Here is a 23945-nt window from a genome sequence, read left to right on the forward strand (position 1 = left end):
GAAGCCCCTGAAGATTAAAGAAATGAAGTCCTAATTGTCAAAAAAAGAGAAAGGCAGATCCACACCACAGAACTACAGAAGACAGGTTTAGTGACAATGCTATACAGTAACATCATGAACTGGTCAGGAGCAGCATATGGCACTCAACTGAAGTAGACAAGGGCTCACTAAGCATAAACCAAGGCCTAAGCCTTCATTTATTCTGTGAGTTATCAGACTAGTAGGTGAAATGAATACTAAAAATGATATCTGGACTTAAAGTATCCACCAAATTCTCTTCTGATAAGAGGCAGGGTTTCTAACCTCCACGTTACTGACATTTGAAGCCGAGTAACTCTCTGTCCTGTGCATTGCGGGATGCTTAGTGGCATGCCTGGCCTCTGCCACTTACATGCCGTAGCATCCCCTAGTTGTGACAACCAAAAATGTCTCCAGATATTGCCAAAGGCCCCTCAGAAGGCAATATCACCCTTGGTTGAGAAACACTGATTTATGGCAAGATAGAGAAATACAAAACAATAGTCATTACTAAGATTCATAAGTAATTAGACAGTTATTCATAAGAAACTAAACAGCTATATCCAGGGTGCTGATGATGATTCAAAGCAAATTTTGAAAAAAACTTTATTTGTCCCTTAATGCTAAACAATTTTAATAATGATTCAGGAAGGAACACAAAGATAAATCTATCAAATTTATAGAAGATATAAAACTAGATGACATGAAAAAATAAGTGTATGAGAGACATCCAAAGATCTAGATTCTTCTACTGGGCGGGAAGGAAGAAGGGAGGGTTAAGCCATTAAGTTATGAAAAAGCAAGCTGTAGGCCAGGTGCAGTGGCTCACGCCTATAATCCCAGCACTTTGGGAGGCCGAGGCAGGCGGATCACCTGAGGTCGGGAGTTCGAGACCAGCCTGACCAACATGGAGAAAGCCTGTCTCTACTAAAAATACAAAATTAGCCAGGCATGGCGGTGCACGCCTGTAATCTCAGCTACTCAGAAGGCTGAGGCAGGAGACTCGCTTGAACCTGGGAGGCGGAGGTTGCGGTGACCCAAGATCGCACCATTGCACTCCAGCCTAGGCAACAAGAGCGAAACTCCGTCTCAAAAAAAAAAAAAAGAAAAAGCAAGCTGTAGAAATTTTACAATAAGATGCTACTCAAATAAGTGTGTGTGTGTGTGTGTGTGTGTGTGTGTGTGTGTGTAACATTTACTTAGGTAATTTAAAATTATTAATTTAAATCTCTCATCTTCAAAAATTCTAAATTTAGTTTCTTTTATACAGAATTTTAGTGTACAAATTATTGATTTTTTAACAAGTATAATCAAAAAAATACAATACTCACTTGAAGGAAATTTTCTACCTTTATCACTCTAGGTTTCCCTGCAAACATCTAAGAGAAGCTCTCTATCATATACAGAATATATACCTATTTGTCTGATACACAAGACTATATGTCTCTAAAAGTTAGCAAAGAGAATGTTACACACATCCCCAAGAATATTTTCTGCTACTATTTTCCAAAGTCACAAGTCACTCTTATTACATGGTAACCTGTCACCTAGAGAACACAACATCGCCAATTTTTTTCCCATTTAAACACTCCTCAAATAATTTTAACTTCAGGAGTACTAACTGCCTCCAGAATTATATGCACAATTAAAATTACCAGTCAAACAATTCAAGACAGGAAAAACCCCCACCATTTTCGATCAAACAACAGGCCCTGATGAAACCGTAATAAAAGGTCAATCTTCGCCAAACAAGACTCAAGGTCTCTCACTTCATTAAACAGCTAAAAGTAAATATATTTACCCAGTACAACAAGTATTTGGGTTTTTACCAACCTTGAAGAACATTTTACTAGAGTCAATAGTTGGCTATAAAGATATTTATAAGCAGTTCTTTCCTTTTCCTGTAACTTGGGAAATTAATGTGGTTAAATTAGTTTTTAAAAATCAATAAATCCTAGTAGAAGACAGATCTAATCAAAGTGATGATGAAAAATATTTCTCATGGAGTGAAACGGAAAGCCTAAAAATCTGTATAACAATAATCTAAAAAGCTAGCTGTATAATAATATAAGCAAAAATACTTGAAACCTACATTTTTCCTAAATCTGTTTTTCATTGTTTATAAAGCACTATGCAATAGAAGTAAAATGCAAGCCACATATAAAATTTCAAATTTTCTCACAGCCACATTTTTAAAAGTAGAAAGAAACAAGTGAAATTAATTTTAACTGTATATTTTATCTAACCCAATAGATCCAAATTATTAGCATTTCAAAATGGGATCAATAATAAAAAATTAACAAGGTAGTTTACCTTTTTTGTGTAGGAAGTCTTTGAAATCGGTGTTGTTAAAATAAATTTTATTGTATATATCTAAAGTATACAACATGATGTCAGGGGATACACAGATAGTAAAATAATTACTATAGTGAAGCAAATTAACATATCCATCATCTCACATAGTTACTCATTTTATTTTTGTGGCAAGAGCAACTAAAATGTACTAATTTAGCAGGAATCCCAAATACAGTACAACTTTATTAACTATAGTCCTCATGTTATACATTAGATCTCTGGACTTGTTCATCCCATGTATCTGCTACTTTGTAACCTCTAATCAATATCTCCCCATGTCCTCCCCAATGCCCCTGCAACCACTGTTGCATTCTCTATTGACTTCTTTTTTAAGAGTCCGCATTATAAGTGAGATCATGCAATATTCTTCTTTCTGTGCCTGACATTTCACTTAACATAATGTCCGCCGGGTTCACACATGCTGTGGCAAATGACAGAATCTCCTTTTTTTTTTAAAGCCAAATAATATTCCATTATTACATATACCGCAATTCCTTCATCCATCCACCATGTGACACTTAAGTTGTTTCCATATCTTGGCTATTGTGCATAATGCTGCAATGAATATGGGATTGCACATAACTTTCTGAGGTGGTGATTTCATTTCCTTTAGGTATATGCCCAGAAGAGAGACTGCTGGGTCATATGGTGGTTTTATTTTTAATTTCATTGGGCTCCTCCATGCTGTTTTCCAAAATGGCTGCACCAATCTACATTCCCACCAATGGTGTATAGGTTCCCTTTTCTGCACACCCTGAATAACGTTTGTTATCCCTTTACTCTTTGATAATAGCCATCCTAACGAGTGAGGTGTTATCGCACACTGGTTTCGGTTTGCATTTCCCTAAGGATTAATGATATTAAGCACTTTTTCATATACCTGTTGGCCACTTTTATGCATTCTCTGGAGAAATGTCTATTCAGGTCCTTCACCCATTTTTAAATTTGATTGTTTGTTTTTCTATTGAATTGTATGAATTATTCATACATTGTAGATATCATCCCCTTATCAAATATATGATTTGCAAATTTTTTCCCAATCTGTAGGTTGTCATTTCATTTTGTTGACTGTTTCCTTTGCTGTGTCAAATCTGTGTGTATTTCACATTTACAGCATTCTCAATTCAGGCTAAAAGCACATTTCAAGCGCTCCATAGCCACAAATAACTAGTAGTTCCCATACGAGACCACACAAATCCATAACATAAGTGGGCCAAATATCATTTCCAAATTTCTAAAGCTCAATTACAAAATCAACAGAAAGCCCTAAGTAACTAAACAAATACAAAATGTCTTTAAAGGCAGATGTAGGCTTATAAGAAAGTCAAAATATAAGAATAACAGTTAATATTTATTGAGCATTTACTATTTTAGACCCTAAGTCAGACCCTATTTTAAATGCTTTTCAAGCATTATCTCATTTGATTATCACAAAGGCTGCTGATGCAGGTACTAGCGATGTCTCCATTTTACATATAAGTAAACTAAAACACAAGGAAAGTTAAGTAAACAAGGCCATGCTTTTAAACAGTATACATGCTATGCCGCAAGAAAAATGCCAATAGAACCAAAGGTTGTTTTTAAAGTCAGAATACAGAAGATAGGAAAAGATAAAGTATGCAATAATGAAGAAAAAATTCTATCTTTTGGAATTAACAGGTTTTTTAAAACTGAATCATGTCATATGACACTTTTTCACAAGAAGCTCCAATCTCCAGACAATCAATACAGTTTTAGATTAGAATTTTTAAACTATTACACAAATATTGGGAACACTTATTCTGTTTTATGGAATGAGGTATTGCCCAATTCTATTATACACACACACACATTTTATTTAACCTTATACTGGTAATATAAAACAAAAATATTTATGACCCAATATTGAAAAGTATGGTTTTAGCCTAACGTAAAGAGTAATGAAAGCATTACTTTAACGTCAAGGATTTTCCAGTACTATATTAATTTGAAAAAGCTGCACTTTTCTTTTTTGAAACTCTTACATTTGTGATTTTATTATGCCAATCTTATTGTGGGCTTTTTTTAATAGTCTCATTCTCTTGTATGAAGGAAAGGGCTTATCTTCCTCCCATTCACCTATCATTTCAAACAATAAAGTATGAAAAGATAAAACAGGCAATAATAAAGCAAGCTTCTTCCCTACATCTCAATTCTAAGAAAAAAATAGAATAATGCATAATACTGAACACCATCTGAGACAGGTACATCATACCCCAAGATTTTTAGCTAAAACATGAGGACAATGTTTACTTTCACATGTATATGCTACCAGCAAATGACACAAATACTGCCTAACGTTCATAAAAAGTCCAGATAAAAAGCTGGACATCTCTTCACAAAACAACATTCAAAAACTGCTCATCTTAATGGATGACTGGATACAGAAAGAAAAAAATTGCTTGTCTGAAATAACTAGTCCCATGTGAAAGAAAATCTGTGATCAGAGCTTAAATTGTCTGACCTTTTTGTTTACTTAAAATCACAAGATAACAACAGCCCTGATCCACAGTTGAAGGCCATGGCTGGCTGCACACTAACTTTGACGTTTTTCAGGGTGTCACTGGAAAGCCCTATCACACCACCTTCAGTTACATAATAAACCTATCACTATACTGTTCTTACTCTCCCCTCCCACGTATTCAAAACTTCACAAAGGTAGCCAGAGCTAAGAGGAGAGCCTCTTAATTTAAGAGTTCGTTTACACAGTGTGCCTGGGCAGATATTTAGCAACAGCACAAAAAGGTTAAGAGTCAATCAGCCACCTGCCCATAACAAAGAAACGTCTGTTTGGTAAAAATTTTCCAAAAAATATGTTCACATCACTTACTTTTTGTCTTTGATATTTTGAACAGTTTCATCAACAAATGTTTCACGTAACCTACAAAGTTCACCTATGGACTTTGTTTTTCTTTTTATTTTTTCCTTTGGACTGCTACTCAATGTGTCAGGCACTGGGTCTGGCCCTTTCACGTACAGCATCCCGTATTATTCCGGTTATTGTCTCCTCTAAGGGTTAACAACATTACAATCAAAATGACTTCACCACTAACTTATCTGAGTTTTTCTCCTAGGATGACAATATAACTCTGGGATCCTTACATAAAAGAACAATATCCATGAAACAATTACTTACACAACAAAATATTTGAGATTAGCACATAATTATTTATAAATGTCCTTTGCACTTTCATTACTCTTAAAACAGATGTAACAGAACTAAATTTAAGTACAAAACAATCTTCTTTAAAAAACCCAATACTTAAATTTGTAGTGTCACCAGAGAATACAAGGAATTCAACATCCGTGCTAAATTATAAATCACAAATATGAGTAATCACTCTACACTTAGATTATTGACTTTGGCCTGCCAGATAAAAAGCTTGCATTAAAAAAGTAGTTCTAAAACAACCCAATACTATTTTAATATGTGATTCAAGATTAAGCTTCAACTTATATGATTCAATACAAGCACTTAAAAAAAATTCCAAGAGCAATTTCCCTGTAATTGGTCCTTAATCTACTGGAAATGCAAAAGATGATCCCAGCCTTCCCTGACAAATATAACTCAACAAAGCAAAAAGGCAGTAGAAATTCCATTCAAAGTGAAGGAGGTACATTTAGACACCAACAAAAAACTCAAGAACATAACACACACGGCATCTCATATACCACAATGCAACCTTACCTGTTTCTGAAATGTATGTAACAGGATCCTGCCGTGAAATTTTACCAGGTTTAGAAGATACTGGCAGTTTTTCTGGTGGCTTTTTGGCATTTTTTACCTGCAACGTCTCCTCTGACTCTGAATCTGTATGTGAGAGAAAAATAAAACAAAACTTTGAAAAGAACTATTATAATATAGTGCATGTTTAAAGTAGTCACGGTGAACCAATTCCTCAAGGTCTTTTTCAAGGCACATGTCTTCTGTGAATTCTCACAGGTTACTTTTACTCAGTGCTAAGCCTATGTATTAGTTTCCTATTCCAGCTATAATAAATGACCACAAACTTAGTGGCTTAAAACAACTAAGCCACTAAATTTATTATCTTCCAGTTCTGGAGGTTAGATAGATGGCAAATATGGGTCTCACTGGGCCAGTCAAGGTACCAGCAGGGCTATGTTCCTTTCTGAATACTCTAAGAAAGAATTTTATTTGCCTTTTCCAGTCTCCAGTGGATGCCAGCATTCTTGGCTCAAAGACCCTTCCTGCATCTTCAAAGCCAGCAACATCAAGCGAAAGCCCTCACGTTGCCATCTCCCGGATCCTCTAATCTTCCTCCACAGTTAATCTCACTCTCTAAACCCTTTTTCTACCTCCCTATTCCTTGTGACTACACTGAGCCCATCCAAATAATCCAGGATAATCTCCCTATTTTTTTTTCTTTTTTGAGACGGAGTCTCGCTCTGTTGTGGAGTGCAGTGGCGTGATCTCAGCTCACTGCAACCTCTGCCTTCCAGGTTCAAGCGATTCTCCTGCCTCAGACTCCTGAGTAGCTGGGACTACAGGCGCGTGCCACCACGCCCAGATAATTTTTGTATTTTTAGTAGAGACAGGGTTTTACTATGTTGGCCAGGCTGGTCTGGAAATCCTGACCTCAAGTGATCCGCCCACCTCAGCCTCCAAAAGTGCTGGGATTACAGGCAAGAGCCACCACGCCTGGCCTAATCTCCCTATTTTTAAGGTCATCTGATTAGCCATCTTAACACCATCTGTAACTTTTACTTCCCTTTGCCATATAACCTAATATAGTCACAGGTTCTAGGAATTAGGCTGTGGATATCTTTTGGGGGCATTATTCTGTCTACCACAGCCTAATCTCCCAGGGCACTTAAATATAAATCAGAACAAAGTGTGAGTACCTGGCACAGTGCCTGGTACAAAATAGATGTTTCATAAACTTTAGTGTCCTTCCTCTTCCCCTGCACCATGCATTTATAAATCCTGTCACACTGTAGTAAACTGTATCAAACAAATGTCCAGTTTCCCAACAAACAAAACTCCTGAGGAAGAGGAACGCGTACTTCTTTCAAATTCTTTACAATATAGAGCAATAAAAGGCACAGAGTAAACACTTAAGTACTTTCAGAATTCAGAACCTTTGATAGTACTGTGAAAATTTTGACAATCCTTCTTTAGGCACATTTTTTATTTTAAGAATTCACACCAGAAGGCCGGGTGTGGTGGCTCATGCCTGTAATCCCGACACTTTGGGAGGCCGAGGCAGGCAAAATCACCTGAGGTCAGGAGTTCGAGACCAGCCTGGCCAACATGGTGAAACCCCTTTTCTACTAAAAGCTACAAAAATTAGCTGGGCATGGTGGTGGGCACCTGTAATCCCAGCTACCTGGGAGGCTGAGGCAGGAGAATCGCTTGAACCCAGGAGACAGAGGTTACACTGACCCAAGATCATGCCATTGCACTCCAGCCTGGGTGACAGAGCAAAATTCCGTCTCAAAAAAAAAAAAAAATTCACACCAGATAAAAATAAAACAGAAAGAGAGAATTAATACAGCAGATCTTGTCCACAAAAGCAAAAACTGAAACTTTCTGAATTCTACCATTTTACCATCATTTTGTGCATCATAAAAGGCATGCAAAAAAATTCATGTTCCCTATTTTAAAATTATGTTCAAAGAAAAGCCTTTAAATTGTGTTTATTCCTTTTTAAATGCAACCCAAAAAAGCCAGATCTTTCAATAAAGCACAAAAATTAAATTTTAGATCTTTGCTTTAAAAACAGTATTCTAAGGCACTATTTTTCAAATTTAACTTCCAACAACCTCAACTGGAAAAGAAATTAATACAAGTATTTTAAAAAATAATAGGGCCAGAGGCTCATGCCTGTAATCCCAAGACTTTGAGAGGCCGAGGAAGGCGAATTGTTTGAGGCCAGGAGTTTGAGACCAGCCTTGTCTACGTGGTGAAACCCCATCTCTACTAAAATTATAAAATTTCATCTCTACTAAAATTATAAAAATTAGCTAGATGTGGTGCTGCACGCCTGTGGTTCCAGCTACAGGTGGCCAAAGCGCAAGAATCGCTTGAACCTGGGAGGTAGAGGTTGCAGTGAGCCCAGATCGCACCACTGCACTCCAACCTGGGCAACAGGGCAAGACTGTCTCTAAATAAATTAATTAAATTAAATAAAAACACATATATCACATTCAAAATAAGTTTGACAAATGCTGCATACTATATCACTTTCTGAAGGAATCTTTAATACAAACATATTTTGGTTCTGATAAGTTCTATAATAAAATTGTTTGAAATTTTACTTGAGCATACAGCCCTCTTCTCACAGGACTTATTAACATCTCAGAGAGCTACGTATCTCAGAACATAGTTGATTTATTTATTTATAATTTTTTTGTTTTTTCTTGAGACAAAGTCTCACTACCCAGATTGGAGTGCAGTGGCGATCTTGGCTCACTGCAACCTCTGCCTCTGGGATTCAAGCAATTCTCATATCTCAGCCTCCTGAGTAGCTGGGATTGCAGGCGCGTGCCACCACGCCCAGCTAATTTTTGTATTTTTAACAGAGAAGGGGTTTCACCATGTTGGCCAGGCTGGTCTCGAACTCCTGACCTCAAGTCATCTGCCTGCCTTTGCCTCCCAAAGTGCTGCGATTGCGATTACAGGCATGAGCCACCGCACCCATCCTTAGAACATAGTTTAAAGCACTGTTCTAAGGGATATACAATAACTTTAAAATTTTAAAGCTCCTCAGAAGAAATTATTACCTGAATCATAGATGATCCTCTTTTTCTTGCTTGGTTGCTTTTGTTTGAAGTCATCCTCTTTACGGGAGCTATTTACCTATAAACATCACAATATAATTAGAACATAAAGAAGCCTATATAACTATCTTTTTTTTTTTTGAGACGGAGTCTCACTCTGTCATCCAGGCTGGAGCGCAGTGGCACGATCTCGGCTCACTGCAAGCTCCGCCTCCCAGGTTCACGCCATTCTCCTGCCTCAGCCTTCTGAGTAGCTGGGACCACAGAAACCCGCCACAATGCCTGGCTAATTTTTTGTATTTTTAGTAGAGACGGGGCTATCCTTTTTTCTCGTTAGATTTGGGCTCAGTCGTTTTAACCAGGGGGAATTTTGCATCCCCGCCCCCCAGAAGGCATTTGTCAATGTCTAGAAACATTTTTACTTATCACAAATGGGGGTAGGGAGGTTTACTGTCATGTAACAGGTAGATCAGGGATGCTACTAAACATCCTACAATGCACAGGACAGTCCTCCACAACAAAGAATTCTCCAGACTAAACTGTCAGTAATATACCCTTATTGGCTAAAAATAGGCCAGACAGTAACTGTACCACAATGGGAAAAAAATAATTACAGAAAACGCTATATTATTATTCAGCTCCATTTTCAACACTAACCTATGTATACAACAAAGAATAAAAGGATATCAGATATTACAAGGCAAGTGCTTCCTGAAAATGAAACGACAGAAACAGGAATAAATGCTAAGCTAGTGGCCTACCACTAGCCAATGCCTGTTAGGAAACTAAATAGAACCAGCCAGGCTCAGTGGCTCACGCCTGTAATCCCAACACTTTGGGAGGCCGAGGCGGGCAGATCACCTGAAGTCAGGAGTTCAAGACCAGCCTGACCAACATGAAGAAACTCCGTCTCTACTAAAAATACAAAATTAGCCAGGCGTGGTGGTACATGCCTGTAATCCCAGCTACTTGGGAGGCTGAGGCAGGAGAATCGCTTGAACCTGGGGGGCAGAGGTTGCAGTAAGCCAAGATCGCGCCATTGCATGCCAGCCTGGGCAACAAGAGCAAAATTCCGTCTCAAAAAAAAAAAAAAAGTACTAAATAAAACCAATGCAAAAGGTATTATTATATATTTTGTAGTTAAACATCACATTTCTAACATATTCAAATTTTCTCAGAAAGCATCAAGAAGGCAGTGAAAAAACTGATTGTAATCAATTATAAGGTAGAAATAGAAACTATTTCTATCCATTATAATAAAACTTCAAAAACATAAGAACAATCAACTAGCTTGCAAGAAAATGGAACAAATGAGCAATTATAATTTATATATACCACTGGATCAAGGACAGAGTCAGAATCAACCACACCTCAAAAGTAAGAGAAGAAGGTATCAAGTAAAGGAGAAAGCCACAGAAAGAAATCCCAAATTCTGCCTGTAAACTTTACCCAAATCTCTGGCTATCTCCTGAATTATACATATGTGGAACAACTCCTATAGCTTAGCTAAGGTTAAAAGAATTGAATAAAGATTTCAGCTGCTGCCCATTACAGGGGAGACAAGAGTTTGGAGCTTGAGTACAGCCAAGATCAATGCCTGATAAACCAAAAGAACACTCTTTGAAGGAATAACAGGATCCAAAGTTCCTACACTGTATCGTTCACAATGTCCAAGATAAATCCAAAATAACTAGAACATGCAAAGAGGAAATGTGACCTGTGGAGGCTAATTTCATATGTGAACCTGACTGAACCACAAGATGTCCAGATATTTGGTCAAACATCATATTAGGTGTTTCTACAAGGGTGTTTTTGAATGAGCTTAATATTTAAATCAATTGACTAAGTAAAGCAGACTGCCCTCCCTAATGGCATTAAGCCTCATCTAATCAGCTGAAAGCCTGGAAAGAACAAAGGCCAACCCTCTGCTGAATGAGAGGGAATTCCTCCTGCCCGACTGCCTTAGAGCTGGGATATCTCTGGGACACTTTCTTCCTGCCGTTGGACTCCAACTAAAACATCAGCTCTACCAATTCTTGGTAATAAATCTCTCTATGTATACACACATACATCCTATTGGTTCTGTTTCTCTACAGAACTCTGACTGTATAATACAGATTTTGGTACCAAGAAATGGGATACTACTATAAAACAAACAAACAAACAAAAACAAAACAAAACCTAAAATACAGAAGTGACTTTGGAACTGGGGAGAGGCTAGATATTTTCTAGCATGTAGAAAAAGCCTAGACTGCCATGAAGGAACTGCTGGTAGAAATATGAACGTTAAATGTAATAACAATGAGAGCTGATGAAGAGAAGAGAAGAGCTAGAGAAGAAGCCTCTTTCATCTCAGAGAATACATATATCATCATGAACAGAATGTTGGTATAAATATGAATGTTAAAGGCCAACCTGGTAAGGTTTTACATGGAAATGAGAAAGAGATTATTGGAAATTGGAAGAAAGACAATTCTTATTATAAAGTGGCACAGAACTTGGCCAAGTTGTGTCCTAGTGCTTTGTGAAAGATGGAACCTGTGAATGATGAAATCAGATATTTAGCTGAGGAGATTTCAAAGCAAAATCTTGAAGATGCGGCCTGAGTCCTCCTGACTGCTTGTAGTCAAATGCAAAACGGAAGAGATGAACTAATGAAGAAACCGGTCAGCCAAAAGGGACCAGAACTTGAAGATTTGTAAAATTCTCAGCCTGTCCGTATTTCAGAAAATGAAAAAGCAAGTTCTAGGCCAGGTGTGGTGGCTCACGCCTGTAATCCCAGCATTGTGGGAGACAGGCCAATCACTTCAGGTCAGGAGTTTGAGACCAGCTTGGCCAATATGGTAAAACCCCATCTCTAGGAAAAATACAAAAAATTAGCTGGACATGGTGGCACGCGACTATAGTCCCAGCTACTCAGGAGGCTGAGGCAGGAGATTCACTTGAACCTGGGAGGCAGAGGTTGCAGTGAGCCGAGATTGCGCCACTGCACTCCAGTCTGGGCAACAGAGCAAGACTCTGTTTCAAAAAAGAAAAGAAAAGAAAAGAAAAGAAAAGAAAAGAAAAGAAAAGAAAAGAAAAGAAAAAGCATGTTCTAAAGAGAATAGCAACGGTGTAGCTGGAGTATCACTTGATAAAGAGATTATGGGATTATACAGGCAAAAACACTGTCAGTTTGAATTGAAGAGGATGGAGAAAGGACAAAATGAAAGAAGGCTGTCAGACTTCTGAGATTCCAGTGACAGGACAACACAGCTATTCTTCAAGAAAAGGGAAGAATGGCCCCAAAAGCAATTCAGAGATCAACCATCAGAACTCCCTCTTCAAAAGATGGAGCTTGGTTTCAACAGATGAGACAGCCACCACCCAAAGCCTTGTGGGCAGGATGGCCCAGCAGAGCTGCAGAAGCAGGACAGCTGCCTGTGACTGTGGGGGTAGGGCCACTAACCCAGTGGGTCTAGAGGGCAGGGCATCAAGCCAAAGAGTTTATTTTCAAGGCTTATGTTCTGATTGAATTTGCCTTGCTAGGTTTTGGACTTGTTTGGGATCCATCACCCCTCCCTCCCTTCTGATTTCTCCTCTTTGGAATGGTAATGTCTATCCTATATGTCTGTTCTACTATCATATTTTAGAAGCACATTCCTTATCTGGTTTCACAGGTTCACAGCAAAAGAAAATTTTCCCTCAGGATGATTCATACCTCAAGTATCACCCATATCTGATTTGGATGATATTGACATGAGACTGTGGACTTCAGACTTGATGCTGAAATGAGTTAAGACTTTGGGGGCTGTTATGATGGAATGAATGTATTTTGCATGCAAGAAGGACATAAATTCTGGGTGGCCATGGATGGAATGTTATATCCTGAATGTCTGTGTCCCCAAAATTCACACGTTGAAGCCCTAACCCTCAGGGTGGCTATATTTGGAGTTGGAACCTCTAAACAAGTAATTAAGGATAAATAAGGTCGTAAGGGTGGGGCTCTGATCTGACAGGATTAGCATTCTATAAGAACAGACACCAGAGTGCTCATTCAATCTCTATCTCTCTTTCTCCACCAGTGCTCAATCTCTCTCTCCACCCATATGCACTAAGAAGAGGCTATGTGAGGACAACACGAGAAGGCAGCCATGTACAAAGCAGGAAAAAGGCCCTCACCAGACACCTAATCAGCCAGTACCATCTATTTTGTAGTATTTTGTCATGGTGGCCTGAACTAACACATGACCCAAAGAATCAGGACAAAAGGCATTTAATGAAGACCAATTTTGATACAACACAGATGTCAGAATTAGCAGATAAGAATTTTAAAGCAGCTACTAGGCCGGGCACGGTGGCTCACACCTGTAATCCCAGCACTTCAGGAGGCCGAGGCAGGTAGATCACCTGAGATCGGGAGTTTGAGACCAGCCTGGCCAATATGGAGAAACCCCAACTCTACTAAAAATACAAAATTAGCCGGGCATGGGGGCTCATGCCTAAAATCCCAGCTACTTGGGAGGCTGAGGCAGGAGAATTGCTTGAACCCAGGAGGCAGAGGTTGCGGTGAGCCGAGATCGTGCCATTGCACTCCAACCTGGGCAATGAGAGCAAAACTCCATCTCAAAATAAAAACTAAAGCAGCTACTATAATTACACTCAAGGACATAAAAGACAGAAATTAAAGCTACAAAAAAGAAACAAATGAAAATTCTAGAATTAAAAAATACAATATGTAAAATAAAAATTCACTAGATAGCCTTAACAGTAAATTGGTGATAAAAGAAGAATCAATGAACTTAAAGACAGAAAGAGAAAGTACTCAATCTGAAAAAAAGACTGATAAAAATGAACAAGGCTCAATGATCCGTGAGACAATATCAAAACTCCAACGTTTATGTAATTGTAATTCAAGAAGAGAAGAGAGAGAATGAGGCAGAAAAAATATTTGAAGAAATTATAGCAAAATGTTCCCAATTTTGATAAAAGATATAAATTTACAGATTAAAGAAGCTCAGAAACCAAAAATGGGATAAACAAAAGAAAACCACACTCAGGTAAGCCATAGTCAAACTGCTGAAAACCAAAAATTAAAAAATTCTTTAATGAACCATGAGAAAAACAACACACATGAGAAAACAACATCAATGACTGGAGGCATCTCATCAGATAAACTAGAAGCCAAAAAACAGTGGAACATCTTTAAAAGGCTTAAGTTTTTTAAAAAACAGTCAACCCAAAATTCCATATCCAGCAAAAATAACCTTCAAGAATGAAGGCAAAATAAAGACATTTTCAGATTAACAAAAACTTATAGAGGTTTATCACCAACAGACCTACACTACAAAAAATGCTAAACAAAATTCTTCAAGTTGAAAGAAAATGATATTAGACGAAAACTCAGATCTTCAGTGAGAAATGAAAAGCATCAGAAATAGCAAATACGTGCATAAAATAAAAACAGCAATTTTTGCCTTAATTTTTTTAAAAAATACACATCTATTTAAAGTAAAATTACATTGAATTGTGCAGTATTAACATATGTAGGTGTAATATATATGACAACTAGGGCATAAAGAATGGAGTGAATGGCTGGCACGGTGGCTCACGCCTGTAATCTCAGCACTTTGGGAGGCCAAGGCGGGCAGATCACGAGGTCAGGAGATCGAGACCATCCTGGCTAACACGGTGAAACCCCGTCTCTACTAAAAAATAGAAAAAATTAGCTGGGTGTGGTGGCGGGCGCCTGTAGTCCCAGCTACTCGGGAGACTGAGGCAGGAGAATGGCATGAACCCAGGAGGCGGAGCTTGCAGTCTGCCGAGATTGCACCACTGCACTACAGCCTGGGCGACAGAGCAAGACTCTGTCTCAGGAAAAAAAAAAAAAAAAAAAAAAAAAAAAAAAACTTATAAGAACTGAGTTTATTTTACATTTCATTCAATGCAAAATTATACCCAGAAAACTAACCTTGATTTCCTTTATTCCTTTCTTTGCTTTTAAAGTTTCTTCATCAGACTTTGTTTTCTCATTCTTCTTTACTGTTTCACTTACAAGTTTCTTTCCACTTGGTATTACTCCAAAGAATTTCCGAATGTCCTAAAAGCAAAAAACAGGAGATTCACGAATAAACATTAACCGCATAAAATTATAACTTCAATTGTAAGATGGGACAGCTTTATGTACACACTGGGTTACCCTGAGTAATTTTTCCATACCAAGATAGTTCCACGAATATAGTAGCTTTCTTTTCATGTGCAAAAGTTAACTGATAACTTTACCTGAGTTAAGAATAATTTGTCGGCCAGGCGCGGTGGCTCACGCCTGTAATCCCTCCACTTTGGGAGGCCGAGGTGGGTGGATCACTTGAGGTCAGGAGTTCGAGACCAGCCTGGCCAACATGGTGAAACCCCGTTTCTACTAAAAATACAAAAAATTAGCTGGGCATGGTGGCAGGTGCCTGTAATTCCAGCTACTTGGGAGTCTGAGGCAGGAGAATTGCTTGAACCCAGGAGGCAGAGGTTGCAGTAAGCCCAGGTAACACCACTGCACTCCAGCCTGCCTGGATGACAAAGCAAGACTCCGTCTCAAAAAAAAAAAAAAAAAAGAATAATTTGTCTAATAAAGAGTAATATAAATTCTCAGAATCAGGCCAAAAACAGGCCAAAATAAGCAAGTGATATTTTTGCTAATGACATCAGAGTTATTAAAGAGGCAAGTGGCAGTTACTTATTATTGATCATACATGCACATACACATACACATCCCATCATCCCAGGCATAGCTGGGGAGAAGACAAAGTTGGAGAATATGATCCTTGTCTGTGGAACATATACTCCAGTATGAAAGAATAACTCTCACAACCCTAATCATTCCTGGCAACTAAAAAGCTTCAAATTGTTTTCCTTTATATGATTTTTCAACATCCTGAAGAAAAAAAACCTTTGATGCTTATTACAATATGCTCTTTAATTACCCGTGTTAAACCACAGAATTCAAATTAATCACACTGAAACATTTACAATGTAATTTACAATTAAAATCACTCACTTTTCCTAACCTTTGCATAGTCTTCCCCACCTCTCTAAAATTTAGTTTAAGAAACTGTGGTATAGAGGAAAGGGAACAGACCTTAGAATCAGAAGCCTTAATTCAAATCTGTGCTCTAGTGCTTTTTAACTGTGTGATCTTGGGCAAGCTACTTTATCTGTTTTCTCCTCAGTAAAGTGGGACTAATACTGACCCTTTATGTGGATTAATTATGCATCTACCACAATTCTGGCCCAGTAAAAATCTTACCCTCACCTCATTTCTGAACTATCATCCCTTCATATTACTGAAACACTCTGTTTATCATTATCTCTGCTTATAGAGAAGGGTATAAGAAGAAAAAATAATGAGAATGTAGGATCTGAATTCCAAAGAACTGGATTTAAGAACCACCTGTATCATTTTCCCTCTTCCTATCCTTGATGGTTGTAATCACCAGTTTTTATCACTTTTTATCCCTACAACCTACCTCTCTTTATTGCCTGAGAGAAATGCCTATAAAAGTACTTTGTAAAGTGTTAAGAAAAGTTAGCAATTATTTCCTAGATCCTGACAATAATTGTCATACTCTTACAATGTCAAAAATCCCAAATAAGTGTGACACACACACACACACACACAAATAACTGTGGCTAAGCCAATAAACAAAGCAGATAATTGAAGTACATAGCATGTTAAATAATTTTTTTAAGGCCAAGTAAGGTAGCTCATGCCTATAATCCCAGTACTTTAGGAGGCCAATGCAAAAGGATCACTTGAGGCCAGGAGTTCAAGACCAGCCTGGTCAACATGGTGAAATCCCATTTCTACTAAAAATATGAAAATTAGCCAGGCACGGTGGTGCATGCCTATAATCCACCTGCTCTGAAGACTGGAGCACGAGAATCGCTTGAACCTGGGAGGCAGAAGTTGCAGTGTGGCGAGATTGTACCACTGCACTCCAGCCTGGGCGACAGAACGAGACTGTCTCAAAAAAAAAAAAAAAAAAAAAAATTAAAAAAAAAGATTAAAGACTTCTCTGGCTTTATATCCTCTTTTGTAAATCTCCTAGTTACAAATCCATCCTAATTAAGTCTAAGTTTAAAAGATACTGCTTACAGACTGGGTGTCTCAGCTATGAAACTGAGACATCTGTATCAGATGCTAAAGAGGAGAAGAACAATAAAGAAAACCACAGTCTTTCCTATAATTACAGAGAATCAAGTCTGAGGCTGACAACTACTTTATTGCTTCTGGAGCAAATGAGTTTCGTATCAGTTTCACTTTTGAAATTACACAGTGATTCTTCACTCAAACAATCATGACTGTTCTAAGTGAGCTCATAGATGGAAACATTTTAAAAATAAAAAGTAGTGATTGTTTAAACACATACACACAAAGACAGAGTGATAGTGCATGTGTGCCATGGAAATAACCAAACTGTAAATTAATAATCTGGTTAAAGCAAGTGGTGGTTTTCAACCTGTTTTCGGACCAAAAATGCTTAAAACTGAGAAGAGAAAGAAAACAAAATGTAATTCAGGAAACAGAGCCACTGTTAACACTGATCTGTCTGGTTTTTGTCTGTACAAAAATCTGCACTGCCACTCCTTAGCACTGTTACACCATTTCCTCCCTACGTAATTATTTCCACTCACATCCTCCTTTCTTTCCCTTTGCATTACTTTACCCTACTCCCCTAAACTCCCCCACACTCTGATGGCAACGTAAGAGTTAAAGAAATTGCAGCATCGTAACCTAACTCAGTATACACTAAAAATCAAAGCTTTTAGAAAATAATTTTCATCAGAATGGAAGCCATTCTACTCATACTTTTTTAGAACTATCTCCAGTGTGAGCAGCCATCTGAGGTATAAACATCTAAGAGGCAAAGGTCAGCAATTTGTCCTTAATTTATAGCACGTGACTTCACCTGACTGTTCCAATTAACATTTGCTGTCCAGTGTTCTAGACCTTCAAAGACTTCATGAAATGCAGAAAAACAAGTCTAACTCCCAAATAATGAATCTAAACACTTCTCTTGCCTGCACAGAATAATTCTTGTTGAGCATATGAGTGGAGAAAGGAACAAATATTTAAATTTATTTTTCAATCTTGGCAAGTAGAAGTCCCTCAAAGCAGAACATCAAGGCCAGAAACCATCCCTAAAGAAAGGCAGATTTTACTACACAAAAAGTGCCATAAACAAAGTTAAAATGCAAGCAACAGAGCTGGGCACTGTGGTGCACACCTACAGTCCCAGGTACCAGACAGGCTGAGACAAGAGGATTGCTTGAACCCAGGAGTTCAAGTTCAGCCTGGACAACATAGTGAAACTATCTCAAAAAAAAAAAAAAAAAAAAAAAAGCAACTAACTTAAAAACATCTACAACAGGCTGGACACAGTGGCTCACGCCTGTAATCCCGGCACTTTGGAGGCCGAGGCAGTTGGACTGCTTGAGACCAGCAGTTTGAGACCAGCCTGGCCAATACAGCAAAACCCCATCTCCACTAAAAATACAAAAATTGGCCATGTGTGGTGGTGCACACCTGTAATCCTAGCTACTCAGGGGGCTGAGGCACAAGAATCGCTTGAACCTGGGAGGCAGATGTTGCAGTAAGCCAAGAATGCCCCTTTGCACTCCAGTCTGGGCGACAGAGCGACACTCATCTCAAAAAAAAAAAAAAAAATACACACACACACACACACACACACACACACACACACACAACAGGCCAGGTGTGGTGGCTCACACCTGTAATCCCAACACTTTGAGAGGCCAAGGCGGGAGGATCATTTGAGCCCAAGAGTTTAATACCAGCCAGGGCAACACAGGGAGACCCCCATCTCTACAAATAAAAAAAAAAAAATCAGCCTAGTGTAGTGACACATGCCTGCATGCCTGTAGTCCCAGCTACTCAGGAGGCTGGGGTGGCACTTGCGCGCCAAGAGTTTGAGGCTGCAGTGAGCCATGACCATCACACCACTGTACTCCAGCCTGGGCAACAGAGCAATAACCTATCTTAAAACACACACACACACAAAACTTGTAAAAGGGTTCCTACAAATCAATAAAAGATAACCTAACCAATAGAAAAAATAAATAAAAGCTCCTAATAGGCAAAGTATAAAAGAAATGCAAATAGCCAACACACATAAAAAATGCTAGATGTCACAAATAAGCAGATAAGTTAAAACTTGATCATTTTCCCCTAAGTTTTAGAAGACTGATAATGCCCATATCTGTCAAGGATGTGGGGAAACAGATGCTCACGCACTATACTGCTGATAAAAGTGAAAACTGGTATAACCTTGGCTGGGCGCAATGGCTAACCCCTGTAATACCAGCACTTTGGGAGGCCGAGGTGAGTGGATCACGAGGTCAAGAGATCGAGACCATCCTGGCCGACATGGTGAAACCCCATCTCTACTAAAAATACAAAAATTAGCTGGGCATGGTGGCACACACCTGTAGTCCCAGCTACTTGGGAAGCTGAGGCAGGAAAACCGCTTGAACCCGGGAGGTGGAGGCTGCAGTGAGCCGAGATCATGCCACTGCACTCCAGCCTGGTGACAGAGCGAGACTTCACCTCAAAAAAAAAAAAAAAAAACACTGGTATAACCTTTATGGAAGGCAATCTAGCCACACTTACCAAAATTTTAAAGGTACATACCCTTTGCCCAGTAATTTCATTTCTAAAAGAAATGGTAGGCAGGGCGTGATGGCTCACACCTGTAATCCCAGCACTTTGGGAGGCCGAGGCGGGTGGATTACGAGGTCAGGAGTTCCAGACTGGCCTGGCCAACATGGCAAAACCCCATCTCTACTAAAAATACAAAAATTAGCCGAGCTTGGTGGTACGTGCCTGTAATCCCAGCTACTCAGGAGGCTGAGGCAGGAGAACGGCTTGAGCCCGGGAAGTGGAGGGTGCAGTGGACCAAGATCACGCCACTGCACTCCAGCCTGGGGAAAAAGTGCAAAACTCCGTCTTAAAAACAAAAAAATTCATTGAACACATGAACGGTTATTCCTCAGGCCACTGACCTTCACAACTGCACTCAGAAAGAGAGGTTCTTGATTATGTAAACCAAAATAAATGGTAGATTTGTTTTTAAAGATTATGTATTAAAAGAATCTTTTAATTGGGATTAACTTTGTGCTATGACTTTACCTAAGAAATTTTAAGAAGGTATTAAATTAATGCTGATTATATATTATTTCTGAGCTAAGTTAATAAAACTGAGTTTCTATAATTGATTTTCTGTTACTCTCATATTAAAACATTGTGGCTACAAAAAACAAAAATATACTTTCACTTTTAGTAGGACATTTCCTCTTCTTTAAAATTTATTTTAAGTCAAACTAATAACTTTTTTAAAGAAATCAGAAATATCTCTAGATTTATAATTGATGTTACTAATTTAACAGTCTAGCATGGGTCTCAAAAACTTCTCTGAGGAAAACACTGGTGAGTGAAATATAAGTGTGGTCTGAAAAACTTTTGAACAGTAACAAGTTCTAGCTAGGAAGAATTTTAAGAGCCCGCATCAACTTTTTTCATTCAATCATTCATTTATCCATTCAAGAAATATTTACTCAGAGCCTTTTATGGACCAAGAACTATTTTTGATGCTTGGGATAAACAAAACAGGCTAGGTCTCTGTTCTTGTGAAGCTTTCATTCTACTTTCTGTTCCTAATCTTTCTTTAATCCATCTTTAGAAAACAAAGCAGAGCACAGAAAAGAAAGAACAGAAGAAATAAAGCACACTGAGGGAACAGAAATAGAGAATAGAAACTACTTCCCCTACTCACCCCAGTATCTGTTAAGTCTACCTGAGAGGCCACTCCCATGACAGCAAAAAGACCCATTTCTACTGCTGTTGTGGCAAGAGGGAAGAATAAGATTCTGAAGTCATAATATTTACTATCATTGAGCTTTAGACTACGCATTCAATGAAATACTCTATCACAGAAGTTTCCAGGTACCTGATCCAAAAATACAAATCAACACAGGCATATTAAAATAGCAAATGGAAATAATTATCTAATTTAAGTTTAAAAAGCATCTTTTCATACCTGCATAACTGGGATAACTAAAGCATTTGAGACTGTTTATGCCTGATCTAATGGTTTATTTCAGAATTTTGACATTTTCACCAGGGCTAATGTACTCCGATTATGGTTTTTATTCATCCAGGAGCTAACTTTTTTTTTTTTTTCCCTTGAGACAGAGTCTTGCACTGTCGCCCAGGCTGGAGTGCAGTGGGGCGATTTCAGCTCACTGCAACCTCCAACTCCCAGGTTCATGCAGTTGTCCTGCCTCAGCCTCCCAAGTAGCTGGGATTACAGGTGCCCATCACCATACCCAGCTAATTTTTCTGTATTTTTAGTAGGGACAGGGTTTCACTATGTTGGCCAGGCTGGTCTCAAACTCCTGACCTCATGATCCACCTCCCAAAGTGCCAGGATTACAGGCATGAGCCACAGCGCCCGGCCCAGAAGCTAGCTTTTTACAACTGACTTCTGAGCCAAAAAAATCAAATTTAAACTACTTAAATGAACACAGAAATAAAGTCCAACTGGGCCAAGCGCAGTGGCTCACACCTGTAATCCCAGCACTTTGGGAGGCCAAGGCGGGTGGATCACCTGAGGTTGGGAGTTCGAGACCAGCCTGACCAACATGGAGAAACCCTGTCTCTACTTAAAAATACAAAAATAGCCAGGCATGGTGGTGCACACCTGTAATCCCAGCTACTAGGGAGGCTGAGACAGGAGAATCACTTCAACCTGGGAGGCAGAGGTTGCAGTGAGCTGAGATCGCACCATTGCACTCCAGCCTGGCCAAGAGCAAAATTCCGTTTCAAAAAAAAAGAAATTAAGTCCAAACTGAAAATAGACCTACAACATAATAAAATAACTGTATTTCTCTAGGCAATATTATTTGTCGCTAAGTGTTTTAATAGCTTAGATATAAAGTCATGCAACAGTGCGAGAGATGTTTTTATACCAGGAAGTTTTACCTTCTAGTTTATTTGTATTTTTAGTGGAAATATAAAGTTCACTTGTAATTATTCATTCCTCTAATATTTGTGGAAAACGCACCGTGAGCCACGCGCTATATGGCAGTTCCCTCTCCTTGTGACCCCTGCCCTTACAGAGCTTATATGCTAGTGAAGGAAGTTGTCAACACCTGCAACAAGTTGCTCATTTATTAAAATAAGCCAAAATGTGTGCCAAGGAAACAAAGCAGGTGCTCTCCCACTAATCATGCCAATTGTTTTTATGCTTTTGTGGATGAAAGCTACACATATTTTCCACGGAAATACGAAAAAACAAACATATGCACAAAACTTTGTATCCAATGTTAGGGGTTTTCCCCTAAAGCCTATTGGGAACCCCAAGTCAAAACTCCGGAACCACACACTCACACTGTGCGAACTAACTCACACCTACTTAACCCCAGTACCACTTATGTACATACCGATACTTCCTAAATCTTGTGTCTGTTTCTCCAGACCAGCTCTGAATTCCATATTTATGCAGCCAACATGCAGCCAAATCCATCCCATTGCAAATCTCCCAAAGGTGCCTCTAACTAATAATGTCCTCAACTAAATTTATCTTCAGCTGGGACCTGCTTCTCTCCCTTTATTCCCCATCTCCATGCATAGCACCACCATTCACCCAAAACAGAAACATGGCCACTGCTTTTCCTCCTCCCTCTGGCCCTCCACCTAATCATCCAACCTAAACGATCTCCCAAATACTGCTGTCTTCTCCCCTCTATTCCCACTGCCACTGCCTTGATTCAGGACTTCTTTTGTTTACTTAACACAACTTTCTAGAGGCCTCACTCTGTGCCATGCAATGATTTGAGCACTTTTAAAATATAAAGTCATTCAGCCCATCAATCAACAAGTAGATAAAGAAACTGTGGGAGATATATATATACAATGGAATACTACTCAATCATAAAAAGGAATGAATTAATGGCATTCGCAGCAACCCAGATGGGACTGGAAACTATTATTCTAAGTGAAGTAACTCAGGAATGGAAAACCAAACATTGTATATTCTCACTCACCCATAAGTGGGAGCTAAGCTATGAGGATGCAAAGGCATAAGAATAATACAATACGTGGTCGCTCAAGCCTGTAATCCCAGCACTTTAGGAGGCCGAGGCGGGTGGATCATGAGGTCAGGAGATCGAGACCATCATGGCTAACACGGTGAAACCCCATCTCTACTAAAAATACAAAAAATTAGCCAGGCATGGTGGCGGGCGCCTGTAGTCCCAGCTACTCAGGAGGCTGAGGCAGGAGAATGGCATGAACCCGGGAGGCGGACCTTGCAGTGAGCCAAGATTGCGCCACTGCACTCCAGCCTGGGTGACAGAGCGAGACTCTGTCTCAAAAAAAAAAAAAAAAGAATAATACAGTGGACTCTGGGGAGTCAGGGAAACGGTGGGAAGGAAGTGAGGGATAAAAGACTACAAACTGGATTCATACCTACTACTTGGGTGATGGGTGCACCAAAATCTCACAAATCGCCACTAAAGAACTTACTCATGTAACCAAATACCACCTGTTCCCCAAAAACCCATGGAAATAAAAAATTTAAAAATAATAATAAATAAATAAAAATGAAGGCAACACAAAAATGTTTTCTTTTTTTGGCCGGGTGCAGTGGCTGACACCTTAACTGCAGCACTTTGGGAGGCCAAGGTGAGTGGATCGTTTCAGGTCAGGAGTTTGAGACCAGCCTGGCCAACGTGGTGAAACCCCATCACTACTAAAAATA

At 39.0% G+C, this 23945-nt stretch overlaps 1 protein-coding gene across 7 annotated transcripts in view, besides 1 other annotated feature; it reads right to left on the reverse strand.

The window, feature by feature from the left end:
- The window catches only part of RFC1 (replication factor C subunit 1), a 78907-nt gene that overhangs the window by 48810 nt on the left and 6152 nt on the right, over nt 1–23945 (reverse strand). For all 7 annotated transcript variants that reach the window (XR_007057951.1, XM_047416054.1, NM_001363495.2 and 4 more), the window contains exons 2-4: nt 15083–15211; nt 9136–9211; nt 6080–6202 (exon numbers count right to left, since the gene is read on the reverse strand). Coding sequence is in view for 6 of the 7 variants with exons in the window: in XM_047416054.1 (XP_047272010.1) it covers nt 6080–6202; nt 9136–9211; nt 15083–15211 (328 nt within the window). In the remaining variant the exon portion in view is untranslated. The remainder of the gene's footprint in view (nt 1–6079; nt 6203–9135; nt 9212–15082; nt 15212–23945) is intronic.
- Nucleotides 17830–17879: an enhancer, noted in NCBI's record as "active region_21456". NCBI's record gives its function as "activates an Ori minimal core promoter by ATAC-STARR-seq in GM12878 lymphoblastoid cells {active_cell/tissue: GM12878}" and the evidence as "EXISTENCE:reporter gene assay evidence [ECO:0000049][PMID:35858748]".

The sequence above is a fragment of the Homo sapiens genome, chromosome 4 (assembly GCF_000001405.40).
Source record: "Homo sapiens chromosome 4, GRCh38.p14 Primary Assembly".
Lineage (NCBI taxonomy): Eukaryota > Metazoa > Chordata > Mammalia > Primates > Hominidae > Homo > Homo sapiens.